General features: G+C 49.1%; 1 protein-coding gene across 2 annotated transcripts in view, besides 3 other annotated features; it reads right to left on the bottom strand.

The window, feature by feature from the left end:
* Window positions 1-19765, bottom strand: part of PCNT (pericentrin) — a 121614-nt gene that overhangs the window by 26581 nt on the left and 75268 nt on the right. For both annotated transcript variants that reach the window (NM_006031.6, NM_001315529.2), the window contains exons 25-31: window positions 19393-19599; window positions 17468-17638; window positions 16706-16858; window positions 7122-8000; window positions 6197-6352; window positions 2350-3120; window positions 883-985 (exon numbers count right to left, since the gene is read on the bottom strand). In NM_006031.6, the coding sequence (NP_006022.3) occupies window positions 883-985; window positions 2350-3120; window positions 6197-6352; window positions 7122-8000; window positions 16706-16858; window positions 17468-17638; window positions 19393-19599 (2440 nt within the window). The remainder of the gene's footprint in view (window positions 1-882; window positions 986-2349; window positions 3121-6196; window positions 6353-7121; window positions 8001-16705; window positions 16859-17467; window positions 17639-19392; window positions 19600-19765) is intronic.
* Window positions 7007-7582: an enhancer, noted in NCBI's record as "H3K27ac-H3K4me1 hESC enhancer chr21:47831521-47832096 (GRCh37/hg19 assembly coordinates)". NCBI's record gives its function as "activates a minimal SCP1, AML or CMV promoter by ChIP-STARR-seq in naive H9 embryonic stem cells {active_cell/tissue: H9 hESC(naive)}" and the evidence as "EXISTENCE:reporter gene assay evidence [ECO:0000049][PMID:30033119]".
* Window positions 14723-15232: an enhancer, noted in NCBI's record as "H3K27ac-H3K4me1 hESC enhancer chr21:47823871-47824380 (GRCh37/hg19 assembly coordinates)". NCBI's record gives its function as "activates a minimal SCP1, AML or CMV promoter by ChIP-STARR-seq in primed H9 embryonic stem cells {active_cell/tissue: H9 hESC(primed)}" and the evidence as "EXISTENCE:reporter gene assay evidence [ECO:0000049][PMID:30033119]".
* Window positions 15233-15743: an enhancer, noted in NCBI's record as "H3K27ac-H3K4me1 hESC enhancer chr21:47823360-47823870 (GRCh37/hg19 assembly coordinates)". NCBI's record gives its function as "activates a minimal SCP1, AML or CMV promoter by ChIP-STARR-seq in naive H9 embryonic stem cells {active_cell/tissue: H9 hESC(naive)}" and the evidence as "EXISTENCE:reporter gene assay evidence [ECO:0000049][PMID:30033119]".

Genomic DNA, 19765 nt, shown 5'->3' with positions numbered 1-19765 from the left:
CATGTTCTCAAAAAACACTAAATCGCTGAAAAATCCAACAGATTTTTTAAAAAGTTAGAGCACCTCAAAAGGTGACTGACTTGTAAAAAGACAACAATTATAGAAAAAGTTATGAAATGAAAAAAAGGACGGTGTGGCAGGTAACCGCCACAACAACTGATGCGGGCCAGGGCAACCAAGGGAGGCTGAGACCAGTGGGCGTGAGCATGAGAGGGAAGAGAATACTCAGTCTCCGCATCTCCCACAGAAGGAGGTGGAGGAAACCTGGCAGGCACCATCACAGACAAAGGCCCAAGTCAAGCCCACGCACCTCCCGCCACGAGGTCCGGGGAGACGCAGCCCCCCACGCACCATCGCGAGGACACGCCACAGTCAGCGGCCCCTCGGCTCCTCTCCAGGGCCGGTGCCCCGAAACCCACAGCAGAGAGAGGGACGTCCACCCCAAGGGGAGGGAAAGGCAGGGTGGGCAGGCAAGGCAGCAGAGCCTGGAAACATGGCGTGCACCGCCCCAGTCTCCATCCTGCCAAAGACACCTGAACACAGCCTGTGAGCTGGGGTGTCTTTTCCATAAAGGACACTACTGGGACAATGGGTGAATCTGAGCAAGGTCTGTAGCTGTAGCTGAGATGCCAGCCTTGGATCAGGGTGAACATTCCAGGGTGGAGCGTGGCCCGGGCCAGCAACCTTGGCTCTGTGAAAGGTACAGGCGTGTTTTCAGAAGTCAAGAGGCCCCAGGTGCACGCCCGACAAAGCGCAGAGCCGGGGTGGAGGTCAGCGGGGGGCAGACGCAGAACCAGGCAAAGGATGCAGGAATTCTTTTGACTATTCTGTGCTAGGAAACCACTGAAATAAAAAATTAAAAATGAAAGATAACCAACTCACTTTTCTCACTTCTATCAGCTTTTCCTTCTAATCCAGGAGGAGGTGAACTTAATGTTTCTTGAGAATCAAAGGATGTTGTGATAAAATCTTCGACATCTTTCTCCTGTTAAGAGATTTTTAAATGGTCATAAAATAATGAGTAATTACATCATAGCGCTGACTTTGCCAGGTGAAAACTTTCAAAGGCCTGAATTTATCTTCCCACATAGACCCCAGATGAAACAACTCAAAACTGGTGAACACACAGGTCGAATGCTTCCAACAATTTAATCAGATTCACCCACAGCTCTTTAGGAATATTTTAATGTAGCCAATAGTAAATATTTCAGATTTAAATTGTTTTGCATGAAATGATAGTATATGGATGTTTCAGATAATATGTATCTGCTAAATTATTATTTTTTGAGGGAGGGTCTCACTCTGTCACCCAGGCTGGAGTGCAGTGGTTCAATCTTGGCTCACTGCATCCTCAACCTCCCAAGGTCAAGTGATCCTCCTGCCTCAGCCTCCTGAAGAGCAGGGACCATGGGCGGCACCAGCACGCCCAGCTAATTTTTTGTGTTTTTTTTGTAGAGACAGGGTCTCACCGTGTTACCCAGCCTGGTCTCAAATTCCTGGGCTCAAGCAATCCTCCCGCCTCAGCCTCCCAAAGTGCTGAGACTACAAGCATGAGCCCAACCATACCTGATTTTTAATTTTATCTTACTCAAGATACACAAAATCCCAAAATGATTATGTTAGAAATAATACGATCTAACTCATAAATTAAAATTAATTAGCATATGTGAAACCTGTTAAAAATATGAAGCATTTCTGGCTGAGCATGGTGGCTCACGCCTGTAAGCCCAGCACTTTGGGAGGCTGAGGTGGGTGGATCATGAGGTCAGGAGTTCGAGACCAGCCTGACCAATAAGGTAAAACCCCGTCTCTACTAAACTACAAAAATTAGCCGGGTGTGGTGGCGTGTGCCTGTAGTCCCAGCTACTAGGGAGGCTGAGGCAGGAGATTTGCTTGAACCTGGGGAGGCGGAGGCTGCAGTGAGCCGAGATTGCGTCACTGCACTCTAGCCTGGGTGACAGAGCGAGACTCCATCTCACAAAAAAAAAAAAAAAAAAAAAAAAAGGAAGCATTCCTAAAAATAAATCTAAAAAACCATTCTGGACAAAGAACCCTATGCCCATCACACACGAAGACGTGTCTGGGCTATGCCCGTTGGAGTCAGCGTCAGTGGAGAAGCATGCCCAGGGTATGTCTGAGGCAGGCAAATGCATCTCAGGCATTTTAAAAATACCTGAACAACTGAAATAATCTAAATGCGCCCATGATGCCAGTCCTGCAGAGCTGGCCCCACACAGCACTGCGAGGTGTGTGCTGTCAGGAGGTGAACAAACAATGGCAGCTGCCGTGGCGCCGGGCAGACCACATTCCCACGGGAACAGCAGGCCTGGGAGCAGAGCAGGCACCTACCACAGCCGTCCTCTGCACATGGTGGTCGTCAGCCGGCGGAGACTCGGCCCACTGCAGTGCCAGCGCTGCTGCAGACACGCCTGGGGAACAAAGCAGCCCCGGCCCCTGGGTCTGTGGCAGCGAGGTGTCCGCCCTGTCCCCCAGGGATGTGTCGGCACTGCACAGGCTCAGGGCTCCTGAGTGGGGTGTCACGGGGAGGCTGGGCCAGGGCTCCAGGGTCCAGTCCTTCCTGAGGACCTCAGGGGAGCTCCAGGAAGACAGGTCCAGCATCCCGACCGGGCTCTTCCGGGGCCCAGCCTCTGCAGTGTGGCTCTGGTGGCGGGAGCCACCAAGTACGCTGGTCGGTGAAGAAAGAGACATGTCCTGACATTCTGATTTTTCTTGAATGGGAGAATCTGGCATTTCATCTGGTATCAAGGAATCCCAATTTTTGATAACATCAGTTACACCCCCTGGGGTTGTATTGGCATCACACGCGTCTATGGCCTGATTTTTGATAACATCAGTTACACCCCCCGTGGCTGTATTGGCATCACATGTGTCTATGTGGGGTGATATGTCAGGCTCTTCTCCGTCACAGGAATCATCACTCCAGCTGCTCTCCAACAGGTGTGCTGAGGCCATGGGCCACAGAGATTTGGTGTCGGCAGCATCCACATTCTGGAAGGTCATGGAATACAGCAAACGGTTCAGTTTTTCCTGAAGCTGTTTCACCTGAGCTACGAGATCGACCTTCGGCAGCTGACAATCTTCCAGTACTTTTTCTTTACCCTGCAGGTGAAACAGAACAGGTGCACGGTGGAATACCTGGCTCACCAGGAGTCGCACCTGTCTGGTGTTAATGAGTGGATTTCAGGGAGTTTCGGAGCACTCGGGTGATTCCACAATGAGCCCTGCACATTTCAAGTTTATTTAATTCTATGAGAAACAGAACCAAGGCTTACATCTCCTTGCTTAAAAGGCAACTGTCATAACCTATTTCTGCGGTGATTGAGGACACAAGCTTCATACAAGGGAAAAAGGATGGGAAGGTTCTATATCTGAGCACCGAAAACACAAAATTGTGGTTTATGTGATGAATTTGGAGTTTCTGTGTGTGTAACTTCTAAGAATTTGGCAGGCAGGGCTGAGCTTTCTCTTAAGAATTCAAAAAATTGGGCCGGGTGCAGTGGCTCACGCCTGTAATCCTAGCATTTTGGGAGGCTGAGACAGGTGGATCACGAGGTCAGGAGTTCGAGACCACCCTGGCCAAAATGGTGAAACCCTGTCTCTACTAAAAATACAAAAATTAGCCAGGCATGGTGGCGGGTGCCTGTAATCCTAGCTACTCGGGAGGCTGAGGCAGTGAATTGCTTGAACCCAGGAGGTGGAGGTTGCAGTGAGCCAAGATCTCAAGATCTCGCCACTGCACTCCAGCCTGGGCGACAGAGCGAGACTCTGTCTCAAAAAAAAAAAAAAAAAAAAAAAAAAAAAATTCAAAGAAACGTTCCTGTCATGAGGGCCCCAAGACTGTTTGCCGCAGGAGATGCGAAGGGCTCTCCACACAGGATGTATTTCCCGAGAGCACATGACAAGCACACGAACCAGGTTCATGGGTCTCCTCAGAACTGCGGGCCTAGGCCCATCCTTCCCTGATTTCTGTGGAATTAAGAATCTTTCAGGCTCTAAACGCCAATGAGGTGCACGCAGTGTGGACCCAGGAACAGGCGGCACCTGCACTCATGCAAGAAACGTCCCAGCGACGTGCGGGACACTCACGAGGGCTGCGAGGGGCTCGGGTGAGCCCAGGTCTCAGCAGGCTTCAGCACCAAGCATGCTTCCGTGCCACCCTAGAGACCATAAAACACCTGCCCAGCACTTCTGGTGTTAGAGCCTCTGGGTTTCAGAGCCTGGAGGAGTAGTTGGGGCACATTTAGCAAACAGCAGGGAGGAGGGGGAGGAGGAAGAGCAGGGTGGGTGGCTGTGTGTCCAGCAGGAGGAGGGTAGGTGTCTGTGTGTCCAGGAGGAGGAGGAGCAGGGTGGGCGGCTGCATGTCCAGGAGGAGGAGAGTGGGCGGCTGTGTGTCCAGGAGGAGGGTGGGCGGCTGCGTGTCCAGGAGGAGGAGGGTGGGCAGCTGTGTGTCCAGGAGGAGGAGTGTGGGCAGCTGTGTGTCCAGGAGGAGGAGGAGGAGCAGGGTGGGTGGCTGCATGTCCAGGAGGAGGAGAGTGGGCGGCTGTGTGTCCAGGAGGAGGAGGAGGAGCAGGGTGGGCGGCTGCGTGTCCAGGAGGAGGAGGGTGGGCGGCTGCATGTCCAGGAGGAGGAGGAGGAGGAGCAGGGTGGGTGGTTGTGTGTCGAGAAGGAGGAGGAAGAGGAGAGTGGGCGGCTGTGTGTCCAGGAGGAGGAGGGTGGGCGACTGTGTCCAGGAGGAGGAGGAGGAGGAGGGTGGACAGATGTGTGTCCCAGAGGAGAAGGAGGAGAAGGGTGGGTGGCTGTGTGTCCAGGGAGGCTGCGCTGGGCCTTGGACTGGAGGAGGCGAGGTGCAGACAGTGCATCAAAAGGTGCCATCTAAGGCTGGGCGTGGTGGCTCACGCCTGTAATCCCAGCACTTCGGGAGGCTGAGGAGGGTGGATCACCTAAGGTCAAGAGTTCAAGACCAGCCTGGCCAACATGGTGAAACCCCGTCTCTACTAAAAATACAAAAATCAGCTGGGTGTGGTGGCGCATGCCTGCAGTCCCAGCTACTCGGGAGGCTGAGGCTGCAGAATCACTTGAACTCGGGAGGCAGAGGTTGCAGTGAGCTGAGATCGTGCCACTGCACTCCAGCCTGGGCGACAGAGCAAGACTCTGTCTCAAAAAAAAAAAAAAAGAGAGAAAAAAAATAAAGGTGCCATCTGCACCTGATGCGGCCTGAGGAGAGGGCAGCTCCTGCGCAGGTGTTTCCTAGGGGCACTGGGGACCTGCCCCTGGTGCACTGGGTGGGAGAAGCACCAGCACCCGCTTTTCTCGCTAAATCTCCACCCTGCTACAATTTGAGATGGTCAAGGTGCAACCTCCTTCCCCGGGGAAAAGAAGTGCCAGCTTTTTTTCAAGTGACAATATGGAGTGAGGTGAACAGATTACAAGAATAAATCTGAGGCCTTTCAAAGTAAAACAGACGCTGGCCATCAAAGTCCTGAGCTGAGGTGAGGCCCACGGGGGCGATGTGGTCCTCCCATGAAAAGACAAACCAGGACTAACCCTCGAGCACAGTTAAATCCATTTGGATCAATTACAAGAAAAAAACCCAACTGATTGTTTCTACAGAGTGGCTTAAATGAAGCACGTACGAAATTTCACAACAGTTATGGACAGCTCGTTACAGAACAGAAAGGATTCAGAGAACATGTCACTGCAGGCACGGACTGTGCTCCTCACCTCAGCAGAATACCCGCCTCTGCCCAGGGCAAGACCCACATGTTCTGCACCCAGCCTCTCCCAGGGGGGCCTCACGCCTTCCCCCCTCCCCACACCTTGCTGCCGCGTGTCCAGCCTCTCCCGGGTGGGCCTCGTGCCTTCCCCGTTCCCCACACCTTGCTGCCGCGTGTCCAGCCTCTCCCAGGGGGGCCTCACGCCTTCCCCCTCCCCACACCTTGCTGCTGCGTGTCCAGCCTCTCCCGGGTGGGCCTCGTGCCTTCCCCGCTCCCCACACCTTGCTGCCGCGTGTCCAGCCTCTCCCGGGTGGGCCTCGTGCCTTCCCCGCTCCCCACACCTTGCTGCCGCGTGTCCAGCCTCTCCCGGGTGGGCCTCGTGCCTTCCCCGCTCCCCACACCTTGCTGCCGCGTGTCCAGCCTCTCCCGGGGGGACCTCGCGCCTTCCCCCCTCCCCACACCTTGCCGCCGTCCTCCAGACTCAGGCGCATTTCATTTTTCACCAAGAGCAGCTCCGACTGCAGCTGCCTCTGGCAGACGGTGAGCACTGACATCACGCCTTCTTGCTTGCAGAGAGGTGCATCCTTCAACGTCACCAGGACAGGCTGCAGATCACCCTTGACAGAGGAGACAGAGGAAAGCTGAGCATGCAGGAGGCTGTTGCTGGGGCTGCCCCTCAGGTGGCCTGGAGCTGGGAACCAGTACGGCAGCCAGCAGGGATGCCAGAGGGAGGTGGCAGTGACATCCACAGCCGAGCACCTTGGTCCACAGCAGGCCACATGGGAACGGGGCTGAGGACCCAGCAGAAAGCTGCCCCGACCCAGGACGACCCCACAGAGCAAGGTGGACTGGGGCATCTGAGAGTGGGAGCCACTCTACAAAGACCCAGCTGGTGTGGGGGTGGTAGGCACCAAGTTCCCAAGGTTCTGCTCAAATACAAGTGGAAGCCTTAAAAGACGACTCCCTACAGGGCCTCCAGCTCCAAAAGAAGAGCTCGCTCGCCACATCTCACACAGGCACTGCTCATCGACAGACAAACCATTTGGTTAGAAACCAGAGAAGCAGCTTAAGCGGACCCTCCTCACATAGTGAGCTCCGTTTCACTGGACAGTCCCTATTATGTGAAAGAAAGAATTGTTTTTAAAAGCTTAAAACGATAAGCTTAAAATGGTACAAAACAGTGAAATCCTCAGCCCAGCTTCACTGCGTACTGACACGGAACAGGCCCAGGCTGGCCCGAGCTTCAGGCCCCCTTTCTCCGCTGTGTCATGAGCCACCATGACAACTGCAGCCCCCAGTGCCCAGCGCAGAGAGAAGTCATTGACATCAAAGGAGAAAAGGAGAGTAAAAAAAAATACCCTGCCATGGCCCGCGGGGGGAGCCCACCTGTGGGTCAGGGACAACCGGCTCCAAAGCAGCATCATGGGAGGCCTCCACGTCGCCGGTGACCTGGGCCTTGGCGCCACCATCCATGCGAGGCTGTGGGTGGGCCCCGGGCACCCGTGTGTGAGCTGTGGCTCTGCGGGCCTGCCGCCTGTCCAGCTCCACCTGGCACCTCAGGAACCGCTGGTGCAGCACCTGCAGCTGGCGGCTGAGGCGGGCACACTGCGCTCGGAGCCACTGCAGCTCGGGAGGCGCCGCCCCGGCTGCCAGGGGCTGCTGCTCCAGGGCGCGGCGGATGCGGGCCAAGGCCAACAGGACGGCCTCCAGCTCGGCAGAGTGGGCCGCCTTCCGCTGGTTCAGAGCGTCGATTTCTAAATTTCTCTCGGCAATCGTCGCTTCCTTTGCTTTCAGGGCCGCTTCGAACTCCTGGATCCGGGAGGCCATGTCTTCGACCTCAGCCTCCCTGAGGGCTACATTGCGCTCCAGCTCAGCCAGCTGTAGCTCCGCAGCCTCCTCTGCGCCCTGGAGGCGCTGCTGCAGGGCCTCCAGGGCCTGGCTGTGCCTGCGCTCCTGGTCAGCCAGCAGCCGGCTCAGGGCCTCCTTGGCTTCCAGCGCAGCCTCGAGCTCGCCCTGTAGGGCCTGCCCACGAGGGCCCCCGGCCTGGGAGCAGAGCAGCTCGCTCTGCAGACTGCCAGCCTGACTGTCGCTGACTTCGTGCACCACAGGCCCCATGAGGGACAGCTCGTGCTGCAGCTTCTCAATGACTTCATGGAGTTGTTCAATTTCCTCTGCTTTCTCCTTTTGTAATCGTTTCTGATTCTCTTGCAGATTTTCAATAGTGGCTTTCAGCTCTTCAATCTCAGAACTTCTGGTATATATGACCTGAAGAGAGAGGACATTTCAGAGGCAAATTAAATGTATCCACTTCCGAATGTCCCTACTTCAGGGCACGTTACATCCTGAATGCATTCTTGGAGTGAAGACTCCATAGCGTGAAAAACAAAGCAGCCATAGAAGCAAACTGCTGGTGCCGGATGCACTCCACACCCACCTTGGCTGCCACTGGGCCCTGGTGCACACCTTGTGCTCCACGTCTGATCGTGGGACGAAGCTCTAATGCAGTCATTTTCCATGCAAGGACATCTACAGAATGATGCTTTCACCACCCTTTAAATGTTATTTTGTTAATATTTAAACAACTTTGATTTGTTTGATTTTCCTGAAGGTGCATTAGATTTTAGGTGTCATTCTGACTCCAGGAGGAAAGTAAGAAACCTAGGCAGAGAATCTGCACCAACAAAGCGGTGAGCCGGGCACGCTCCCCTTCCATCCCAACACTGCTCGTGGTGACGCTGGTGATGAGGCGTCTCTGCCACTGCCACTCGGTGACACCAGGCATCGAAGTGAGTTTACTTGTGCCATGAAACATAATCCTCAGCCATGTAAGGAAATACGATTGTTTCCACTTTAAAGACAGGAAAATTGAAACTGAGATATTAAACATCTTTCTAAACCCATAAAAACAGTAAGTGGAAAATTAGGATTGAGATGTATGTCAATATAGCTCCAAACTCTATTCTCTTAAGATAACATTCCTGGTAATGACAAAAAATAGAAAAATTCTAATCCATTTGTGCTCTAACAATTTTAAAACTATTTGTTATAGACTAATATGTTCTTCCAAAAAACTGAGGGTTTCATAACAACTCCAGGTTTCTCTGGAACTACCTCACAATTACTCTGGACTCAAATGCAAATCTGGCCTACAGAAAAAAAACAAAGGAACCGGATGAACCTGTGGCTTTGGTTTGGACGCTGTCAACAACACCTTCCTATGCATTTACCACCGATGAACAACACCATGCATTTAGCAAAAGCAGCCTCCCAGCTGCGGGCTAGGAATGCCCGCTGCACATTCTGCTCCCCGTCGCGTGCCTTACTGTGTGCGGCACCGGCCGTTGTCTCTGTACTCTACAGGCACGCGAAGGAATTTCGAGGACAATTCTGATTATACGCAGCTTCTGCTCATTCCCTAAATGCACTAAATAAACTGGAATCAAGGGGTGCGCACTGAAGACGGTCATAATCACAACGCATATATCACGTTAAAATACTGGAGCCAGCATACGAAGGTAGCTCTAAATGTAAAACACCAAAACCTGAAATCAGTGAACTGAGGCCGGGCGCGGTGGCTCACGTCTGTAACCCCAGCACTTTGGGAGGCTGAGGCAGGCAGATCACTTGAGCACAGGAGTTCAAGATCAGCCTGGCCGACACGGTGCACCCTGGTCTCTAGTAAAAATACAAAAATTAGCCGGGCGTGGGCACCTGTAGTTCCACCTACTCAGGAGGCTGAGGTGGGAGAATCACTTAAACTCTGGAGGCAGAGGTTGCGGTAAGCCGAGACTGCGCCACTGCACCGCAGCCTGGGCGACAGAGCAAGATAGTGTCAAAAAAGAAAAATAAAAAGCAAAAAGCGTATGCAAGCATATTCAAGGAGACCTGAATGCAAAGTAAAACTATGAAATTTCTCAGGAAAATTGGGCTAGGGAAAGAGCTCTCAGAACTTCAAAAGTATAATCTGGCGGGGCACAGTGGCTCACGCCTGTAATCCCAACACTTTGGGAGGCCAAGGCAGGCGGATCTTCTGAGTTAGGCGTTCGAGACCAGCCTGACCAACATGGAGAAACCCCGTCTCTACTAAAAATACAAAAATTAGCTGGGCATAGTGGCAGGTGCCTGTAATCCCAGCTACTCAGGAGGCTGAGACAGGAGGACTGCTTGAGCCTGGGAGGCGGAGGTTGCAGCAAGCCAAAAATGCGCTACTGAACTCTAGCCTGGGCAACAGAGAGAGACTCTGTCAAAAAAAAAAAAAAAAAAGTAAAAAGTTTTGCTCTGCAAAACATACTGTTAAGAGAATGAAAAGACCAGCCATACATTGGGAGAAAATACCTGCAAATCATGTATCAAAAAAAAGCGTTCAAAAGATATAAAGAATTCCCAAAACAATAAGAAACCGAACAATCCAACTTTTTAAAACTTTCTGAGGTGGGGCACGGTGGCTCATGCCTGTAATCCCAGTACTTTGGGAAGCCGAGGCAGGTGGGTCACCAGAGGTCAAGAGTTCGAGACCAGCCTGGCCAACGTGATGAAACCCCGTCTCTACTAAAAACATTAAAAAATTAGCTGGGTGTGGTGGCGGCGCCTGTAATCCCAGCTACTCAGGAGGTTGAGGCAGGAGAATTGCTTGAACCCAGGAGGTGGAGGTTGCAGTGAGCTGACACGTTCCCGCTGCACTGCAGCCTGGGCCACAGAATGAGACTCTGTCTCAAAAAAAAAAAAAAAAAAAAACTTTCTGAAAGACTTAAGCAAACATTTCCCCCACAATATGGATGGCAAATAGCATAGAAAAAGATGCTCAAGATCACTAGTCATTAAGGAAATACAAAACTCTAGGATATACCACTACATATCTACCAGAATGTCTAGAAAAAAAGACTGACCTTACCAAATGTTGATGAGAACGTGGTTACCCGGAACACTCATCTATTGCTGGTGGAATGTAAAACGGTAGTGCAACTATAGAAAACAGTTTGACAGTTTCTTTTAAGGTTAAATATATACTTACACATGAATCAGCCATGCATTCAGTTTAAGTACTGAACCGAAAGAAGTGAACATTTATTTTCTCCCAAAAAGCTATGCATGAAAGTTTATGGTGGCTCGATTCATCACTGCCAAAACCTAGAAACTATCCAAATGTCCCTCGATGGGTGAATGGATCAACAAACTGTGGTCCATCCAGACAACAGTACTCAGCAACTAAAGGAACAGACACAGGCGACAGCATGCATCAATTTCCAGTGCATTACAACACCTGACTCGAAACAGAATTCCAGACAGGAAGACAGCAGGCCTGATGGGTGGCCACAAAGAAACAGCACAAAGAAAATTTTTTGAGTGATGAGATTGTGGTGATTATTACAGGACTAAATCCTTTTTTCAAAATTTATAAAACTGTATACTAAAAAAAACTAATTTTACTATGCACGAAGTCTAAAAACAAAAAACTTAAATTGTTATACTGAAAAATAAGTATCTATAATCAATGACCTAAGGTTCTATCTGAAAAAGCTAGAAAAAGAAGAGAAAATAAACCCAAGGTAAATAGAAGGAAGCCAATAATGAAAATAAGAGGAGAAATCAAAGAAATAAAGAGAGAAAAGTATCAGAGCCAAAAGCTGATTCTTTGAAAACACTGACAACATGGATAAACTACTAGCTAGACAGACTCAAGAATAAAAGAGAAAACACGAACTCACTAATATCAGGAATAAAAGGAGGGCCATCAGCATAAAACCTGCAGATATTCAATGGCAAGTAAGGAAATGGTTAATAAGGTGAACAGTTACAAAATGAGAAAGTATAGACTGGGCGCGGTGGCTCACGCCTGTAATCCCAGCACTTTGGGAGGCCGAGTCGGGCGGATCACGAGGTCAGGAGATCGAGACCATCCTGGCTAACACGGTGAAACCCCGTCTGTGCTAAAAATACAAAAATAATTAGCCGGGCCTGGTGGCAGGCGCCTGTAGTCCCAGCTACTCGGGAGGCTGAGGCAGGAGACTCACTTGAACCCGGGAGGCGGAGGTTGCAGGGAGCCGAGATCGCGCCATTGCACTCCAGCCTGGGTGACGGAGCAAGACTCCGTCTCAAAAAAAAAAAAAAAAAAAGAGAAAGTATAAACTTCTTTATGCAAAGAAATTTGACAATTTTGATGACATGCACAAGTTCCTTGAAAAATACAACTTATCACAACATGAAACAGAAATCCAAATACCTCAGTCTGTTAAAGAAAATTAATTACCATCAATCTCTCTAGATATAAAACTCCAAATGGCTTCATTGTTGATGCTATGAAAACATTCAAAGAAGAAATCCCAGCTATGTTAAATAACCTCTTTCAGAAAAGAAAGTGAAAAAATTCCCAATCTATTTTATGAGACTAACATAACCTTCATACAAAGCCTTAGGGAACACTGCAAGAAAAGACAATTATGCACCAACATCCCTCATGAACACAGATGCAAAAACCATTAACAAAATATTAGCAAATCAAATTCAGTAATATCTGTAACATATGAAAAGGGCAGTACATCACTACCAGGTATGGTTTATCCTAGAACCGCAAGGTTAGTTTAATCTCCAAGAAATAAATCACTCAATAAAGTTAACCTTATTAGTAGAATAAAAGAGAAAAATATCATCACTATTTCAATAGATCCAGAAAAAGCAAACTAGAAATATAACAGAACTTCCTTGATCTGATAAAAAGGCACCTGTGAAAAACCTAAAGCTAATATACTTAATGGCAAAACACTGACCACTTCCCTGTAAGACAAGGAGCTGGGCAAAGATGACTGCCCTAGCCAGTTTTAACTTTGTACTGGGAGTGCTAGACATTGTAATAAAAGAAGGAAATAACAAAAATTGGAAAGAAATAAAACTGTCTTTATCTGAAGATGATGTTATCTTATACATAAAAAGCCTTCAGGAATCCACAAAACGCTACTAATATACATAAATTGTGCAAGGTAACAGCAAGGTTAACATACAAAAGGTGTATGTGTATTCACGGTAAACAACTAGATAATTATTTTAAATCTCACTTACAATAGTGCAAAAAACCTAAAATATTTAAGGATAAATTTAACAAAAGACGTGAGACCTCTTTATTAAAACCTGTAGAATAAGGGAGAAGTAAATGGTAAAATTAAAGAAACATCACTAACCCCAGAGTTAGAATAAGCCACACAGGGAGGGAGGGCCCACATTGAGGATGAGGTGTTAGGATGGCTGGAGCCCCGGAGGACGGCAGTACAGAACAAGTGACAACAACCACGACCACGCCAGGGAGACGGGAGCTCCGTTTCCCCACAAGTGTAAAAGACGCTTCTAGAAGACAAACATCTTCACTGACATAAAATAGGGTAGAATACAGCAAATGTGGTTTCCTTGAAATAACTGGAAACCTAACAAGAGTCAAACCTTTAAATGGAATTTTACTTTTCTTTATTATATAAAGCAAAATAGCATCCGCATCTTTACAAAAAATTAGGAGAATTACAGAAAATGAAGGATGTACGAATTTGCACATATCTGTAAGAAAAATCCCACAAGAAAATATTGGGGATTGTCCTTAAAAAGCTTTCAATTCTTAATGGAACAAAAATACTGTCCTTAACATGTAAACTATTTTTTATATATTTTTCATTATATAAGATTATAGTTAGAGGTCAAGTTCTAGAGCACTATAGACAAATAATACAACTTCTTCTGAAAAGTAATCAATGGTTTTTAAAGGCATTCTTTTTTTTTTGAGACGAGTCTTGCTCTGTCGCCCAGGCTGCAGTGCAGTGGCGCAATCTCGGCTCACTGCCAACCTCCACCTTCTGGGTTCAAGTGATTCTTCTGCCTCAGCCTCCCAAGTAACCATTAGAGGCACCGGCCACCAGGCCCAGCTAACTTTTGTGTTTTTAGTAGAGACGGGGTTTCACCATGTTGGCCAGGCTGGTCTCGAACTCCTGAGCTCAAGTGATCTGCCCGCCTGGGCCTCCCAAAGTGCTGGGATTACAGGCGTGAGCCACCGCTCCTGGCCATAAAAGGCATTCTTCAATGTAACCCAAAAGGCTATTTTTAAATTTTTGCCAAATATACAAGATACAATCAGATACTAAGACAGATAACATCTCAGTAGCCTCTGTCAAAGGGAAATTAAAAGTGACAAACTGGAGACAAACTTCTCCTTACTTCTATGGTCCCCTCCAAAATTATTTTTTTTTAGGCAGGGTCCTGTTCTGTCATTACAGCTGGATTACAGTGGCATGATCACAGCTCACTGTGGCCTTGGCCTCCCAGGCTCAAGTGATCTTCCTATCTCATCCTTCAGAGTAGCTGGTACTATAGGTGTATGCCTGGCTAAATTTTTTAAAAAAATTTGTAGAGATGGGTCTCATTACGTTGTCCAGGCTGATCTCGAATTCCTGGGCTCAAACGATCCTCCCACCTCAGGTTCCCAAACTCCTGGGATTACAGGTGTGAGAGCCACTGTGCCCGGCCATAAAGTTAATTTTGTTTTTGAGACAGGGTCTTGCTTTGTTGCCCAGGCTGGAGTGCAGTGGCACAATCACAGCTCACTGCATCCTCCATCTCCTGGGTTCAAGTGATTCTCCTGCCTCAGTCTCCGGAGTGGTGTGTCACCATGCCTGGCTAATTTTTGTATTTTTAGTAGAGATGGGGTTTTCCCATGTTGTTTAGGCTGGTCTCGAACTCCTGAGCTCAAGTAACCCACCCTCCTCAGTCTCCCAAAGTGCTGAGAATACAGGCGTTTGAGCCACCGTGCCCAACTGATAAAATTAATTTTGAAAAGTATTATAAATATTGTATGAGGAAACAGAAGACTGTCATCCTGGAAAGCCAAGGCCCCAGTCAATCACACCCAGAAACTATGAGGACTTCGTACAGGAGACGCAGGCGTAGCCAGAAGCGTGAGAAGAGCCCCTTCTCCCCCAGCACCAGGGAGTGGCGTACCTCGCCGAGGTAAACCTGCGGTGCCTAGAGCTGCTCGTTCACACGCACTATCTCCTCTTCTTTGTTGGGCAGAAATGCCGGTGGAAATGGTAATAACAACAACCATATCAAAACAGAGCCGACAGAACCTTAATAGGGAAATATTCCACTGACCCTACAGATATGAAATGTCCTAATTAAATAAGCCTACAGTTTTAAATTGGAAAAATGGAAAATCAATTTGAAAATTTTTTTTGTTGTTATTGTTGTTGTTTTTTGAGACTCTCCCACGCTGTGTTCACTCAGGGAGCATTCCCACGCTGTGTTCATTCACCGAGCACGCGCCACGTGGGCACCACACACACACAATTCTCCCACGCTATGTTCATTCACCGAGCACGCGCCGCGTGGGCACCACACACACAATTCTCCCACGCTGTGTTCATTCACCGAGCACGCGCCACGTGGGCACCACACACACACAATTCTCCCACGCTGTGTTCATTCACCGAGCACGCGCCGCGTGGGCACCACACACACAATTCTCCCACGCTGTGTTCATTCACCGAGCACGCGCCGCGTGGGCACCACACACACAATTCTCCCACGCTGTGTTCATTCACCGAGCACACGCCGCGTGGGCACCACACATACACGATTCTCCCACGCTGAGTTGATTCACCGAGCACGTGCCGCGTGGGCACCACACACACAATTCTCCCACGCTGTGTTCATTCACCGAGCACGCGCCGCGTGGGCACCAAACACACACTATTCTCCCACGCTGTGTTCATTCACCAAGCACGTGCCGCGTGGGCACCACACACACACGATTCTCCCACGCTGTGTTCATTCACCGAGCATGTGCCACGTGGGCACCACACACACACGATTCTCCCACGCTGTGTTCACTCACCGAGCATGTGCCACGTGGGCACCACACACACACAATTCTCCCACGCTGTGTTCATTCACCGAGCACACGCCGCGTGGGCACCACACACACAATTCTCCCACGCTGTGTTCATTCACCAAGCACGTGCCGCGTGGGCACCACACACACAATTCTCCCACGCTGTGTTCATTCACCAATCACGCGCCGCGTGGGCACCACACACACAATTCTCCCACGCTGTGTTCATTCACCGAGCACGCGCCGCGTGGGCACCACACACACACAATTCTCCCACGCTGTGTTCATTCACCGAGCACGCGCTGCGTGGGCACCACACACACAATTCTCCCACGCTGTGTTCATTCACCGAGCATGCGCCGCGTGGGCACCACACACACACGATTCTCCCACGCTGTGTTCATTCACCGAGCACGCGCCGCGTGGGCACCACACACACTAATTCTCCCACGCTGTGTTCATTCACTGAGCACGTGTTGTGTGGGCACCACACACACGATTCTACACAAGGTCTTTCAAGGGCATCTGTGAAGTTATGAATGCTCTGCAATTTTGAATATCATCTCTACTATAAACAGGTTGGTTTTGGTTTTCTTTTTTGCTTCAAAAGCACGGCTACATTAAAATAAAAGATTTAAAAATAGATTTTTTAATATACACCTACTATGTACTCACAAAAATTTAAAAAAAAATTTGTTCTTAAGATTTTTTTCCCATCATGCCAGTGGGAAGAGAAACAGTGAGTAGCCACTTACTCAAGTCACCTCCTTGAGAAGAGCAAGCCACCAACAGCCCAATAGCTTCACGCCTCTCACAGCCCTGGGGTGCTGCCCTAGGGAAGTGCCTCTCCTCAGATCCCTATCAGTGCTGCAATCAGAAAGCAGTTTGGGGCAGGGGTCGCTGGTTCCTCACTCAAGATCCCTAGAAAGCTGCTTCCATGCACATGTCCCCAGGCAGAATCGGGCGCTCTCTGCACTGTCTGCCACATGGGGGCCACGGGCGTCTGTGAAGACCAGAGACTCGCCTCCCCGATGAGGGTCTTGGTGGCCGCTCGGCACCGGCATAAGCAACATGAACTCGGGCGTCACGTGGACCTTTGGTAGCTTACCTTCAAGCTCGTGTTCTCTTCCTCAAGTTCTCTGAGGCTGACAGCAGTCTGGCTGTTCTGCATGTCCAATTTTAAGTTCAGATGTAGTATTTCTTCATTTTTACTTTCTAAGTCACCTTTCATCTTTTCTAGCTGTTCTTTTAAGTCCAAAACCTTTCATTAAAACAAAAGAAGAAAAGTATTAAAAGTCATCTAATATTCTATTAATATTAATAATTAAGACATTATTAAAATAGCTTTGAGATATTTAAATGCACATGCCTAAAGCAATTACTACCCTGTACCTGTACCCGCACACAAATGGTAAAACTGCAAAGAATACACAGTGGTCAGGCTGGGCATGGGCTCACGCCTGTAATCCCAGCACTTTGAGAGGCTCAAGCAGGCAGATCACCCGAGGTCAGGAGTTGGAAACCAGCCTGGCCAACATGGTGAAACCCTGTCTCTACTAAAAATACCAAAACTGAGCCGGGCGTGGCGGTGGGTGCACCTGTAATCCCAGCTACTCGGGAGGCCGAGGCAGGAGAATCGCTTGAACCCAGGAGGCGGAGGTTGCAGTGAGCCGAGACTGCACCATTGCACTCCAGCCTGGGCAACAAGAGCAAAACTCTGTCTCAAACAACAACAAAAAAAAGAAAAGAAAAGAATACACAGTGGTCACAAGCCCATCGCCTGTGTTATCTGGACATCGGATCTGCCACAGAGAAGCCCACTGGACACTGACCCAGGGCTGGCAGTCCCATGGCCCCACTCTGCACTCACCTCGCTCTCGCGCCGCAGGAGTGCTCTCTGTGTCACCTCTAACTGTATTTCTGGACCCTCAGGAGGGCTGCCCGAAGGAGGCTCGGGACATCTGCCTGCATCTAGTGTAGACTGCAACGTGGACGCCAGAAGCAAGCTACTCATCTGCTGTTTCTTTAACACCTCTTTATCCTATTAAAAAAAAAAGAACTCTATTTTAGGCAAATATTTGGGAATTCAGTACCTCAACTGCTGCCTGTTAAAGCACAGACCATCTTTAGCTGCACCTGAAGCAGAGCAGGTGGACCTGCACGCCCCTGCACTCAGTGACACACCAGGCAACACTGGCACCCAGGACCCAGCCACCTCCCAGCAGAGGCCTGCCTGGTGCAGGACGTGACTGAGAGCCACAGCCTGTGCCCGAGTCCACTGTGAGGAATTTATCTACAGTAATATTCACCAAACTATTACCAATATTTTCAAAACTGACAAGAACTTGCCAAAAAAAATAGGGCAATGGCTGATGGTATGCTCATATAATGAATATTACCTGCCTAGAAAAAATTTTTCAAACAATATTTAATATGACGAAAATGGTCACAATACGTTACATGCGCAAGAGCATGACATATAAAATTGCATACACAGTCCAAATTTCACGAAGGGATAAAAACACATTTTCTAACCCTGGCATCTACTAAGCTCAGTAAACGTTCGCTGAGTGAAGGCAGAAGGGGTGAAGCCGCCCTGGAGCAGCTGTCACTGAAATGTGTGCAGTGGCCGGCCAGGGGGACAACTCCGCTCCAAGTGCAGGTGATGCTCAGCGGTCCTCCCTGCGACAGCGGAACGGAAACACGTCAGGGCCTGAGGAAAGGCCCCAGTTTAATAATTCTCATCAGCACTTACGAGAATCAGACACACTTGGCCGGGCGTGGTGGTTCACGCCTGTAATACCAGCACTTTGAGAGGCCAAGGCGGGCAGATCACCTGAGGTCAGTAGTTCGAGACCAGCCTGGCCAACATGGTGAAACCCCATCTCTATTAAAAATACAAAAATTAGCCAGGCGTGGTGGCGCGTGCCTGTGCTCCCAGCTACTCAGGAAGCTGAGGTAGGAGAGATCGCTTGAACCCGGGAGGAGGAGGTTGCTGTGAGCCGAGATTGCGCCACTGCACTCCAGCCTGGGTGACAGAACAAGACTCTGTCTCAAAAAAAAAAAAAAAAAAAAAAAAGAATCAGACACACCTGAGAAAGACTCCTCCTCTCATCTGTGTCTGAGGCCAAACTACTAATTCTAAAATCAAATTTCTTACTGAGCCTCTTTTCAAGTAACCTTTTAACCTCATAGAAGTCAGCTGAATTCCTTTTAGCTAAATGCTCACAATGGAGGGCACAGCCGCTACCCAGAAATGCAGACAGGCAGCCCTGCCCCCTCCAGCCATGAGATGGCCCACCTGGCTCAGTGCTCCAGCCCCTCTTTAAACTCTCAGACACAAACGAACACACACAACACGGCAAACACCAGCAATGCAAAACCATCACTGGAGATCTCTTCACTGGGAGCTGACATGAGTTCCTGAGCTCAAAGATTGAAACAATTACAAGGGGCTCTCATCAAAGTATTTAATAAGCTAAGATTTTTTTAAACCTAAAATCTTAAATGTTTACTTTATGAAATATTAAGGATAAATTCAGAGTTCTTGAGACATAAAGAAATTGTATAAATCCTACTACAGTAAATAAAATCAACAATCTCCAGAAAGGTCAAAGTACTCTTGCTACCCGTCACCAATGACTTCTGTTTCTCCCTGACGCCAGTGTTTCTGGTGCAGACGTGGTGGCTGCCAGTGAAGAAGGACGCCCTGCCCACTCCCTGCCAGCTCAGCGATGAAGCCATGCCTGCGGGACACCTCACCACGTGCCCAACCACAACATGGAGACGCTTTACCTGTTCCAGCCCTTTCACGATGTTTTTCTGTTTTTCCACTTCTTCCTGGAGCTGGGCCACTTTTTTCCTGATGTTGATGTTCATCTCCTCCAGACGTTTAATTTCTTCTTCCTGCATTAACACTTGTCTATCTGCCGACTCTTTCTGTATAGCCAATTCATTAAATTCATCCAACTTTTCTCTCAACTTTTGTTGTAACAACTCAACCTAAAACAACAAAAAATGCTTGAGGAATACAATAGAATGTTTTATAAAAACCCATTTTCCAAACAAAAAAGTACCCAAAACAACAGAGACAAAATAGATGCCCTATGCCCTCCCCTAGACCCAAAGGGAGACCTAGACTCACAGGCTGCACAGGGAGACCCAGACG

The sequence above is a fragment of the Homo sapiens genome, chromosome 21, assembly GCF_000001405.40.
Source record: "Homo sapiens chromosome 21, GRCh38.p14 Primary Assembly".
NCBI lineage: Eukaryota > Metazoa > Chordata > Mammalia > Primates > Hominidae > Homo > Homo sapiens.
This window is presented reverse-complemented; position numbering and strand designations above follow the sequence as displayed.